Below are 13,736 nucleotides of genomic sequence, written 5' to 3' on the forward strand. Positions count from 1 at the left end.
TGGTCATGATGAAAAATCTTTCTAATGTATTTTTCAATTCAGCTTGCTAGCATTTTGTTGAGGACTTTTGCATCAATATTCCTCAGAGATATTGGCCTGTAGTTTTCTTTGTCTGATGTGTCTTTGACTGGTTTTGGGATCGGGGTAATGCTGGCCTCATAGAATGAGTTTGAAAGCACTCCCTCCTCCTATGTTTTTTGGAACAGATTGAGTAGGATTGGTATTAGTTATTCTTAAAATGTTTGGTAGAATTCAACAGTGAAACCATTAGGTTCTGGGCTTTTCTTTACTGGAAGACTTTTTATTACAGCTTTGATCTCATTACTTGTTATTGCTCTGTTCAGGTTTTGGATTTCTTCCTAGTTCAATTGGTAGGTTGTATGTATCTAAGAATTTGTCCATTTCTTCTAGATTTCCCAATTAACTATGAGCATACAGTTGCTCATAGTAGTCTCTACTGATCCTTTGAATTTCTTCAGTATCAGTTGTAATGTCTCCTATTTTGTTTCTGATTTTATTTAGATCTTCTCTTTTTTCTTCTTAGTCTGGCTAAGGGTTTGTCAATTTTGTTTAACTTTTTTGAAAAACAGCTTTTTGTTTCATTGATCTTTTGTATTTTTTCATTTCAATTTCATTTATTTCTGCTCTGCTCTTTATTCTTTATTATTTTCTTCTACCAATTTTGGGTTTGATTTGCTCTTGCTTTTCTAGTTCTTTAACATGCATCATTAGGTTCTTTATTTGAAGTTTTTCCTGTTTTTTGATGTAGGCACTGATAAGCTACAAACTTCCCCCATAGTACTGGTTTTGCTGTATCCCATAGGTTTTGGTATGTTGTGTTTCCATTATCATTTGTTTCAAAGCATTTTCTAACTTATTCGTTGACCCACTGGTCATTCAGGAGCCTATTCTTTAATTTCCATGTGTTTGTATAGTTTCCAAAGTTCCTCTTGTTATTGACGTTTGGTTACATTCCATTGTGGCCAGAGAAGATGCTTGGCATTATTTCAATATGTTCAGTGTTTTAAGACTTGCTTTGTGAACTAACATATGGTCTATCATTGAGAATGACCCATGTGCTAAAGAAAAGAATGTGTATTCTATAGTCACTGGGTGAAATATTCTGTAAATACTTATTAGATCCATTTGGTATACAGAGCACATTGAGTCTAATATTTCTTTTTTGATGTTCTGTCTGGAAGATCTGTCTGGAAGAAATGCTGAAATGGGGTGTTGAAGTCTCCAGCTATTATTGTATTGGAGTAGCTCTAATAATATTTGCTTTATACATGTTGGTGCTCAAGTGTGTGTGCATATATATTTAAAATTGTTATATTCTTTTGCTGAACTGACGTCTTTATCATTATATATTGACCTTCTTTGTTTCTTCTTATTGTTTTTGTCTTGAAATCTGTTTTGTCTGAAAGAAGTATAGCAACTTCTGCTCTTTTTTGGTTTCCATTGGCATGGAATTATCTTTTTCCATCCCTTTATTTTCAGTTTTTGTGTGTTTTTATAGGTGAAGTGTGTTTCTTACAGACAACAGATCAATCGGTCTTTCTTTTTTCATCCATTCAGCTGCTCTATGACCTCTTATTGGAGAGTTTAGTCCATTTATATTCAATGTTACTATTGAGAAGTAAGGACTTCCTCCTGCCATTTTGCTATGTGTTTTCTGGTTGTCCTGTGCTCATCTCTTCCTTTTTTCTTTCATTTCCTTTCTTCCTTTAGTGAGCATGTTTTTCTCTGGTGATATGATTTATATTCTTGCTTTTAATTTTTTGTGTATCCAATGTATCTTTTTTGGCTTGAGGTTACCATGAAGGTTGCAAATACTATCTTATAACCCATTATTTTAACCTGATAACAACTTAACATAGTTTGCATAAACAAACAAACAAAAAGAAAACTAAAAAAAAACCAACTCTATGCCTTAACTTTGTCTCCCGCTTTTTACCTTTTTTTGTTTTAATTTTTATCTTATTGTACTTTACTATCTATGTCTTGAAAAGTTGTTGTAGTCATTTATTTATTTGGTTCAATGTTCAGTCTTTATACAGAGGATGAGTAGTTTACACATCACAGTTAGTGTTATAACAGTTTGTGTTTTTCTGCATGCTTACTATTACCAGTGGGTTTTATATCTTCAGATATTTCTTTTTGCTCATTACATTCCTTTTCTTTCTTATTGAAGTACTCCCTTTGGCTTTTCCTGTAGGACAGGTCTGGTATTGACGAAATCCCTCAGCTTATGTTTGCCTCAGAAAGTCTTTATTTCTCCTTCACATTTGAAGAATATTTTCACTGGATATACTATTCTAGGATAAAACTTTTTCTCATTCAGCACTTTATATACGTCATGCCACTCTCTCCTGGCCTGTAATGTTTTTACTGAAAAATCTGCTGCCAGACGTATTGCAGCTCCATTGTATATTATCTGTTTCTTTTCTTTTGCTACTTTAGGATCCTTCCTTTATCCTTGATCTTTGGAAATTTTATTATTAAATTCGTTGAGGTGGTATTCTTTGAGTTAAATCTGCTTGGTGTTTCATAACCTTCTTGTAATTGGATGTTGCTATCTTTCCCTAGGTTTGGGGGATTCTGTTATTATCCCTTTAAATACATTTCCTACTCCTATCTCTTTTCCTACCATGTACTTGGGGCCAATAACTCAGATTTGCCATCTTGAGGCTATTTTATAGATTCTGTAGGTGTGCTTTATTGTTTTTATTTATTTTTTTATTTTTTCTTTTATCTCCTCTCACCATGTATTTTCAAATATCCTGACTCCAAGCTCACTAATTCTTTCTTCTGTTTGATTCATTCTGCTATTAAATGACTCTGATACATTCTTCAGTATGCCAATTGCATTTTTTTCCACTCCAGAATTTCTGCTTGATTCTTTTAAATTATTTTAATCTCTTTGTTAAATTTATCCAATAGAATTCTGAATTCCTTCTCTGTGTTATCTTGAATTTTTTGGAGTTTCCTCAACACAGATATTTCTAATTCTCTGAAAGGAGAACTACAAACCACTGCTCAATGAAACAAAAGAGGATACAAACAAATGGAAGAACATTCCATGCTCATGGGTGGGAAGAATCAATATCGTGAAAATGGCCATATTGCCCAAGGTAATTTATAGATTCAATGCCATCCCCATCAAGCTGCCAATGACTTTCTTCACAGAATTGGAAAAAAATACTTTAAAGTTCATATGGAACCAAAAAAGAGCCCACATCGCCAAGTCAATCCTAAGCCAAAAGAACAAAGCTGGAGGCATCATGCTACCTGACTTCAAACTATACTACAAGGCTACAGTAACCAAAACAGCATGGTACTGGTACCAAAACAGAGATATAGACCAATGGAACAGAACAGAGCCCTCAGAAATAATGCTGCATGTCTACAACCATCTGATCTTTGACAAACCTGACAAAAACAAGAAATGGGGAAACGATTCCCTATTTAATAAATGGTGCTGGGAAAACTGGCTAGCCATATGTAGAAAGCTGAAACTGGATCCCTTCCTTACACCTTACACAAAAATTAATTCAAGATGGATTAAAGACTTAAATGTTAGACCTAAAACCATAAAAACCCTAGAAGAAAACCTAGGCAATACCATTCAGGACATAGGCATGGGCAAGGACTTCATGTCTAAAACACCAAAAGCAGTGGCAACAAAAGCCAAAATTGACAAATGGGAACTAATTAAACTAAAGAGCTTCTGCACAGCAAAAGAAACTACCATCAGAGTGAACAGGCAACCTACAAAATGGGAGAAAATTTTCGCAACCTACTCATCTGACAAAGGGCTAATATCCAGAATCTACAATGAACTCCAACAAATTTACAAGAAAAAAACAAACAACCCCATCAAAAAGTGGGTGAGGGATATGAACAGACACTTCTCAAAAGAAGACATTTATGCAGCCAAAAAATACATAAAAAAATCCTCATTGTCACTGGCCATCAGAGAAATGCAAATCAAAACCACAATGAGATACCATCTCACACCAGTTAGAATGGCAATCATTAAAAAGTCAGGAAACAACAGGTGCTGGAGAGGATGTGGAGAAATAGGAACACTTTTGCACTGTTGGTGGGACTGTAAACTAGTTCAACCATTGTGGAAGTCAGTGTGGCAATTCCTCAGGGATCTAGAACTAGAAATACCATTTGACCCAGCCATCCCATTACTGGGTAGATACCGAAAGGATTATAAATCATGCTGCTATAAAGACACATGCACATGTATGTTTATAGTGGCACTATTCACAATAGCAAAGACTTGGAACCAACCTAAATTTCCAACAACAATAGACTGGATTAAGAAAATGTGGCACATATACACCATGGAATACTATGCAGCCATAAAACGTGATGAGTTCATGTCCTTTGTAGGGACATGGACGAAACTGGAAACCATCATTCTCAGCAAACTATCACAAGGACAAAAAAACCAAACACCACATGTTCTCACTCATAGGTGGGAATTGAACAATGAGAACACATGGACACAGGAAGGGGAACATCACACACCGGGGACTGTTGTGGAGTGGGGGGAGGGGGGAGGGATAGCATTAGGAGATATACCTAATGCTAAATGACGAGTTAATGGGTGCAGCACACCAACATGGCACATGTATACATATGTAACAAACCTGCACATTGTGCACATGTACCCTAAAACTTAAAGTATAATAATAATAAAATTAAAAAAACAAACAAACAAAAAAAGAAAGGTCACATATCTGTGTTTCTCCAGGATTTGTCGTGAATGCCTTATTTAGTTCATTGGTGAGGTCATGTTTACCTGGATGGTCTTGATGCTAGTAGATGTTCTTCAGTGTCTGGCATTGAAGAGGTAGATATTTATTGTAGTCTTCATCGTCTGGGCTTATTTGTACATGTCCTTATTGGGAGAGCATTCTAGATATTCGGTAAGACTTGAGTGCTGTGATTTAACCTGTATCTGCATTAGGAAGCATCGTAAGTTCAGTAACACTGTGGTTCTTGCAGACTTGTAGAGGTACCACCTTGGAAAAGATTCAGGAGAATTCTCTGGATTACTAGGCAGAGACTCTTGTTCTCTTCCCTTACTTTCTCCCAAACAGCTGTAGTCTCTCTCTCACTCTCTCTGTCTTTTTTTCTGTGTGTGTGTGTGTGTGTGTGTGTGTGTGTGTGTGTGTGTGTTCTGGGTCATGTAAAGCTGGGGGTGGAGTGACACAATCACCCCTGTGCCCACTACCACTGTGTCTGTGCTGGATCAGACCTGAAGCCAGCACAGCACTATTTCTCACCCAAGGCCTGCAGTGACGGCCCTCTGGCTACTGCCTATGTTTTTCAAGGCCCTGGGGCTCTACAATAAGCAGATCACAAAGCCAGGAAGGCCTATGTCCTCCCCTGCAGTCTAGGGAGTTCCCCCAGGTCTTGGGTGGGTCCAGAGATGCCATATGGGAGTCAGGCACTAGAATAAAAACCTCAGAAGTCTACTTGGTGTTCTATTGCACTGCAGCTGAGCTGGCACTCAATTCACAAGGCATAGTCCTTCCCACTCTTCCCTCCCACTTCCCAAGGCAGAGAAGCCTTACCTCTTAGCCCCCACCACTATAGACAATGGGAACTACTGCCAGACTACTGCCAACATTCCCTTAAGGCTAAGGTCTCTTAAGTCAGCTTATGGTGAATGCTGCCTGATGTGAGACTCACGCTTCAGGACAGTGGGCTCCCCTCTGGCCCAGGGCAGGTCTAGAAATGCCATCCAACGTTCAATTCCTGGAATCAAGAATCCCAAGGGCCCACTTGGTGCTCTACCCCCCCGTGGCTGTGCTAGTACCTAAGGTGCAAGAAAAAGTCCCCTTTTACTTTTCCCTCTGATTGTTTCAAGCAACAGGAGTTTTACACCATAGCCACTACAGCTGGCACTGTGCTGAGTCTCACCTGAAGACAGCAGGTCTCAGAGGCTCACCCAAAGCCCTCAACATAGTGCCTGGGTATCGCTGCTGGTTATTCAGTGTCCAAGGGCTCTTCAATTAGCAAATGATGAATGCTCTCAGACCTAGGTCCTTCCCTTCAAGGCAGCCAGTTCCCTTCTGGCCTAGGTTGTGCTAAAAATGCCTGGAATGGGGCCTGATGACTTTGACTGCTGCCATATCATGCTGTGGCTGAGCTGGTATCCAAAATTCAAAACAAATTCCTCCCCACTGTTCCCTCTCCTCTACTTAAGTGGAAGGAAGAAGTCTGTTTTGAAGTTGTGAGCTGTGCAGCCTGGGGTTGGGGGAGGGGTGATGTCAGCACTCCTTTAGCTTCCCCAGCTGGCATCCTAGCAGGTTGCATCTTCCCACAACTCCAGTCCACTGTCTCTTGTCCCAGTTCAACACTAGGAGTCACCTAAGAGTTGCAGTCTTTATGGCCTAGACTGCTTTTCATGTCCACTTAGACACACAGAACACTGTAGCCCTCAGTGGTGATGTTTTTTTAAAATTTTACTTTAAGCTCTGGGATACAAGTGCAGAACGTGTAGGTTTGTTACACAGATATACGTGTGTCATGGTGGTTTTCTGCACCTATCAACCTGTCATCTAGGTTTTAAGCCCCGTATGCATTAGCTATTTGTCCTAATGCTCTTTCTCCCCTCGCCTCCCACCCCTCAACTGGCTCTGGTTTGTGTTGTTCCCCTTCCTGTGTTCATATGTCCTCACTTATGACTGAGAACATGCAGTGTTTTGTTTTCTGTTCCTATGTTAGTTTGCTGAGGATGATGGCTTACAGCTTCATCCATGTGCCTGCAAAGGATATTATCTCATTCTTTTTATGGCTGCATAGCATTCCGTGGTGTATATGTATGACATTTTCTTCATCCAGTCTATCATTGATGGGCATTTGGGTTGGTCATGTCTTTGCTATTGTAAATACTGCTGCATGTGTCTTTATAGTAGAATGATTTATATTCCTTTGGGTATATACCTAGTAATGGGATTGCTGAGTAAAATGGTGTTTCTGGTTCTAGATCCTTGAGGAATCACCACACTGTATTCAGCAATGGTTGAATTAATTTACATTCATTACCACCAATAGTGTAAAAGCATTCCTAGTTATCCACAGCCTCATCAGCATCTATTGTTTTTGACTTTTTAATAATTGCCATTCTGACTGGTATAAGATGGTATCTCATTGTGGTTTTGATTTGCATTTCTCTAATGATCAGTGATGTTAAGCTTTTTTTTTCATGTTTGTTGGCTGCATAAATGTCTTCTTTTGAGAAGTGTCTGTTCATATCCTTTGCCTGCTTTGTGATGGGTTTGTTTGTTTTTACTTGTAAATTTGTTTAAGTTCCTTATAGATTCTGGATATTAGACCTTTGTCAGGTGAGTGGATTGCAAAAATTTTCTCCCATTCTGTAGGCTGCCTGTTCACTCTGATGATAGCTTCTTTTGCTGTGCAAAAGCTCTTTAGTTTAATTAGGTCCCATTTCTCAATTTTGGCTTTTGTTGCAATTGCTTTTGACATTTTCGTCATGAAGTCTTTGTCCATGCCTGTGTCCTGAATGGTATTACTTAGGTTTTCTTCTAGGGTTTTTATGGTTTTGGGTTTTACATTTAAGTCTTTTATCCATCTTGAGTTCATTTTTGTATAAGGTGTAAGGAAGGGGTCCTGTTTCAGTTTTCTGCATATGGCTAGATTGTTTTCCCAGCACCATTTATTAAATAGGGAATCCTTTCCCCATTGATTGTTTTTGTCAGGTTTGTCGAAAATCAGATGGTTGTAGATGTATGGTGTTATTTCTGACATCTCTGTTCTGTTCTATTGGTCTATGTATCTATTTTGGTACCAGCACCATGCTGTTTTGGTTACTATATCCTTGTAGTATAGTTTGAAGTCAGGTAACACGATGCCTCTTAGCTTTGTTCCTCTTGGTTAGGATTGTGTTGTCTATACAGGCTCTTTTTTTTCCATGTGAAATTTAAAATAGTTTTTTTCTAATGCTGTGAAGAATGTCAATCGTAGTTTAATGGGAATAGCATGGAATCTATAAATTACTTTGGGCAGAATGGCCATTTTCTTGATATTTATTCTAAAGATGGTATGTTTTTCCATTTGTTTGTGTCCTCTCTTATTCCTCCTTCCCATCCCTTTTTAGCTGTATTCCTAGGTATTTTATTCTCTTTGTAACAATTGTGACTGGGAGTTTATTCATGGTTTGGGTCTCTGCTTGTCTGTTGTTGGTTTATAGGAATGCTTGTGATTTTTGCACATTGATTTTGTATCCTGAGACTTTGCTGAAGTTGCTTATCGGCTTAAAGAGTTTTGGGGTTGAGATGATGGGGTTTTCTAAATGTAGAAGGGGAATTTGACTGCAAACAGAGGCAATTTGACTTTTTCTCTTCCTATTTGAATACGCTTTATTTCTTTCTCTAGCCTGATTGCCCTAGCCAGAACTTCCAATAGTATGTTGTATAGGAGTGGTGAGAGAGGGCATCCTTGTCTTGTGGCAGTTTTCAAAGGGAATGCTTCCAGCATTGGTTAATATTATGACCAATCTTATCAGAAGCATTTTTAAATATTGTGAAACTGTTAATCTCATAGTTGCAGGTACAAGCTTTCTATAATTCTAATTTTCTCTCTAAAGGTCATATATTGTCATTGGCATTGGATTACTATCAATGTTTTCCTTTAAATGACAGGCTTATTTCATTTTTGAGAAAATGCCTGCCAGATACTCAAGTTTGAAGAACCATGGTTTGTCTGCCAGCATTCCTACAAATAAAAATCGTGTTCCATGAGAAAAGAGGCTTGTTCAGCTTGCAGCTCAAACTGTCATGCAAGAGCTTTTCCCAGAGGCAATTTTTGTACTTTGGTATGCAGTGAAAGTCCTTTATGTGCACTTTCCATTTTTTCACACAGGCTATTAAAGAGAGAAGTACTGAATGGTTAAGATTTAATAAAATTAATATTTTTTATTGGCTCATTAAGGACATTTTTAACTGAAACTTGCCTTTAAAAAAATACAAACTGAGTTTAAACTGACCCTGCCTTGATTTGTGGTAAGGTGACAGCAGTTCTACCCACTATTAATTTTGTGCCATCAGTGCAAATGTCAACACAGTGAAAAAGGCAAGTAATGTCCTAGTATAATTATCAAAATAGTTTTGACATTGCAGACTGCTTAAAACAGTCTCATATACTCCTAGTGTTTTTCAGATATTACTTTGAGAACCACTGGGGTAGAAATTAGAATTTTGGAAGATAAAAACCATAAATTTAAATGGTGGCTTTGGGATGGGAGCCTAATCTGTAAAATAATCAAATTCTTCTCTTCATTTTTTTTTTTGCATGTTTAGTGGATGGGTATGTGAGGAAAATGGACAAAAGTAAAGTTATGTCTACAGAAGAAGTAGCATATTAGAATATGAGATTAGTCTTGTTACTAAGAAAAAAAATGGCTTACATAGGTATCAGCAAACTAGTACCCTCCTGCTACCTGTTTTGATAAAACGTTTGATTGGAAAACAGCACATAGACCACATGACCTGCAAGGCAAAAATGTTTACTCTATGGCCCTTTAAAATAAAACGGGTCGTTAGCTCTTGTCTTAGATAAATGTATTTACCTCTTAATTAAAACAGAGAGAAAATCAGCCATTAGTGAAATTCAAATATTTACCAAAAGGCTTTGAGTAGCGTTGTTTGCATCTAGCCTTATCTTGGGGAATTAAAGTTTATAATATACACAAAGGGCCTGAGGGGGCAGAGTCACCTTTGATGGGGAAAGTTGGAATTTCCAGAGGATAAGTGGCGAGATGCTGGACTGGATTGGAAGGGTTAGAGAAGAGACAGAGATAGGAGCAAAATATATGATACAAACTTGTAAATGACTTCCTTTCAACCACAGGTAGACAGTTACAAGCTTTTTTTTTCTTCACATACCATATGCATTTTGAAAGCTAACTAATCCTTGAGTAAAGAACTTTATCATCTTAATATGATGGTCTGAGATGTCTAGGGAATACTTGGTGGGGAGGGTACTAAAGAAAGGCTAATCCCATTCCTCAGTCATCAGTTGTTTCTTGGGTGTATTGAGAAGCTCCACCCAAATTTCTCTTTCCTCACAGAAAAGGGAGCGCTCTCCAGCACTTGGTTCAGAGATTTGTTCTTTTAAAAGGAAAACCTAAAGACTTTATTTTTGCATGGCTTCTATGAATTGGAGATATTATTTATCCTCACTACAGTTGGAGTTCACTAATCAGTTTATTTAAGCTCATAGTATTTGTGTCAACAGAAGTATGCAAAAACAAAGCTCTTTATTTTGTAGGAGTTACCTTGGCAACATTATTTGAGGGGATTATTTGAGTATTCACTTGCAGGATGAGAGGCAAGGTTATGAGCAGGTATGTTTCTAGCTAAGCACTCCCCGTCCCCCACCTTCTTTTTAGCCCTGATAGAAAGAATCCTAAAATTGGAATGCGCTTCATAAAATCTAAGCATATTACACTGCCAAATTAGAGGAACTGAAACCATCCCTACAAATTTTATAAAGTTAATCAGGGAAGAAGGGAGGGGAAAAACAAAAATAAATTAAGCTTGCAGTGCATTCAGCATTAATCATTAGGTCAGCTTGTTCTCTGACCCACGTCCTCATAGTTGTTTGCCTATTGCCTCAGAATCACGTAGACTCTGTTAGAAGATTATAATTCCTCTTAACTGCTCTATAGAAAACAACCTGAACATTTTAAAATGTTAAGTTTTCCCTTTGAGACATTCTTTCATGTCCTGCATAACAGTGGAACTACTGACATCCACTGGTCTGAAGGGCCACAGGGGAAGCTGACTCAGCAAAGAATGTAGTTTTCAAGACCCGATGCTTTCATCCTCCTAACCCCAACTAATCAATGACCTCAATTTTCCATCCCCTTAAAAATCCACAATCCCCTTAGAAATATCAGCCCAGAACTCCTTGGGGAGATTTATTTGATGGTCTCCTCTCATTTTCTTGCTCAGTACCCTGCCATCATTAAACTCCTCTTCTGCTGTAAACCCTGCAGTCTTGGTGTGTTGGTATGTTACTGCACAGCAGGCAAACAAAGCAGTTGGTCCTATGACAGAAGCATGGGCAACCCTTTCAGAATTCAAACAGTAAGGAAATGAGGTGGTATCTCCTTGACGGTGTGCCCGTTAAAAGAGAGTGTTGTGACCTTTCCAGGAGCATTTTGCTGCCTTACATTCTCAGGTAGAGCATGCCATCAATTCCCCTCTCCCAGTGGAGAAAATAGATGGGTGGGATTTGGGACATGTGCCTTATCTGGTGAGGGATAACTCATATTCTGTTCACCACGAAGCAAGACGACACCTTTTAATTAAAAATATTAAAGTGGAAAAGCAGTTATGGATAGATTTGCAAGTGCCAATCTGTACTATAGTCATTGCTTAATCTTGTTTTCATTAAACGATTGTTTCCAATAAAGGGGAAAGGACAGTTGAAGCAGAGAACTTGACAGAGAATGATATTCTACTACCAGCCATTCCAGGAACTGGTTTTATTTTCTATTTTGTTTTTAAAATTTTTATGTTAATTATTATGGGTACATGATAGTTGTATATGTTTATGGTGTACATGTGATGTTGTCATACAAGCATACAATGTGTAATGATCAAATCAGAGTAATTGTGGTATCTATCACCTGAAGCATTTATCATTTCTTTGTATTAAAAACATTCCAATTCTACACTTTTAGTTATTTTAAAGCATACAATAAATTACTGTTAACTATAGTCACCCTGTTGTGTTACTAAGTACTAGGTCTTATTCATTCTGATTGTTATTTTTGCACCCATTAACTAACCCATTTTTATGCTCTCCTCCCCACTATCCTTCCCAGCCTCTGGCAATCATCATTGCACTCTCTACTTCCATGAATTCATTTTTTAAAGCTCCCACATTATAAGTGAGAACATGCAATATTTGTTTTTCTGTACCTGGATTATTTCACTTAACGTGATGTCTTCTGGAACTGGTTTATTTTTGCCTCTACTTTGTTTACTTCAGCTATACATCTTCCTTTTCATTTTCTATAAGATGTAGAACCCAGTGCTTTGCCTCTTCCCTTGAATTAAATGATTATCCATAGTTACATATTATTCCCATGGCTTTATTCAAGAGAGAGTTTCATTTTATTCTAACTGTAATGACAAATTTGAGAGCCCCGGTATAGTAAAGTGACCTTGTTCTTTGCAAAAAAGTAACATGCAGCTATGTTAAAATTGAGCTCAAATTCTCTAAGGTGAGAACAAATAATCACAACTTGTGCTTTTTTGTGACATCTGATAGTGTCACAAAATACATAAGTACCTTTCATTTCTTGTTATTTGTCCTCTAGATTTGCTGAAAGAGTGAGACTTCATGAAAATGTTAAAAATGTAATATGTAGAATATCTTGACAATGTTCCTCACAGCTCTGTAAAATCGGGCAACCTGTTCCCACTCTGGACCACCTCCCCACTATCCTTGTGCATTGCTGCTCCAATCACACTGGACTCCTTGCTTGATGTTAAACTTCCCAGACATGTTCCTACCTGTGGAACTATGCACTTCTTTCTCCTCTGTCAGTAATGTTCTTCCCTTAAATATCCACTTGCTCTCTCTCCTTATTTTGCTGAAGACTCCTATAACCTCTGGTGACAGATGTACTCTGGGCTGGCCTCAAATACATCACAGCCTTTTGTAAAACCCTCCTATTGAGTGTGGGCACACCTGTGACTTGCATCTAACTGAAAGAATATGGCAAAAGAGATGGGATAGTACTTCCGTGATAATGTTACCTTATACGGCAAAGGTGAAAAGAATTTTTCAGATATAATTAAGTGCCCAAATCAATTTGACTTTAAATTAATAAAAATGGAGATTATACTAGTGGGGCTAATCTAATCAGGTGACTCATTTAAAAGAATGCCTAGATTTTTCCGGAGTTCAGAGACTGTAAACTACAGAGAATCTTTTCTTCTGGCTGTGTAGAAGCATCCTGCCCTGAGTTCCACAGTTGGGAGGAAATGCATTCTGCTAACAACTACATGAGCTTGGAAGAGGAAACTGAGCCTCAGATGAAACCAGCTCTGGCTGACTCCTTGACTGCAGCTTTGTAAGATCCTGAGCACAGCACACATTGAAGCTGAGGCTGGACAGTGGGTGTTGTTTTAAGCCACTAAGTTTGTGATAATTTGATACCTAGCAGCAGAAAACTAATACACCTCCCTTTTGCAAGATGTATCCCATCTACCCTCTCTGTCCCTTTTCGCCACTTTGTTTTTCTTCATAGCCCATATACCTTTCATATTTCAAATAATTTAATATGTGTGTGTGTTTTTATTTTCTTTCCCCACTATGGTATAAGCTTCATAAGTGCACCTATTTTGGTTTCGTTTGTTTACTGTTCTGTCCGCACTGTTTAGAAGAGAACCTGGAGAAAGTAATAAACACTTAATATGTATTTGTTCAACAAATGAATAATAATATTCTTCTGACTTCTTTGTTTTCTCTGTCACTCAACTGACTTCTGTGTTTCCAAGTTTCCCACAAAAGGATTTTTTTTATTTCTTCAATTTTTATCTTAAGAGGAACTTACCTCTCAGCAAAAGAGAAAATTATGTCAGTCAATACCTTAACAATGGAGGTTTACAAGCAATCTCACTTCCCAAAGGACAGAAAATAAGAAACAGGTTGTCAGATTAATTACAACC

At 37.9% G+C, this 13,736-nt stretch overlaps 1 protein-coding gene across 1 annotated transcript in view; it reads left to right on the top strand.

Annotated features, from left to right (window-relative positions):
• The window catches only part of FBXO4 (F-box protein 4), a 115,124-nt gene extending 101,621 nt beyond the window's left edge, over nt 1-13,503 (top strand). The window contains exon 6 of the mRNA XM_011514026.4: nt 13,015-13,503. Within this exon, the coding sequence (XP_011512328.1) occupies nt 13,015-13,142 (128 nt within the window). The 3' untranslated portion in view covers nt 13,143-13,503. The remainder of the gene's footprint in view (nt 1-13,014) is intronic.
• Nucleotides 13,504-13,736: the final 233 nt, after the last annotated feature.

Source organism: Homo sapiens, chromosome 5 (assembly GCF_000001405.40).
Source record: "Homo sapiens chromosome 5, GRCh38.p14 Primary Assembly".
Taxonomy (NCBI): domain Eukaryota; kingdom Metazoa; phylum Chordata; class Mammalia; order Primates; family Hominidae; genus Homo; species Homo sapiens.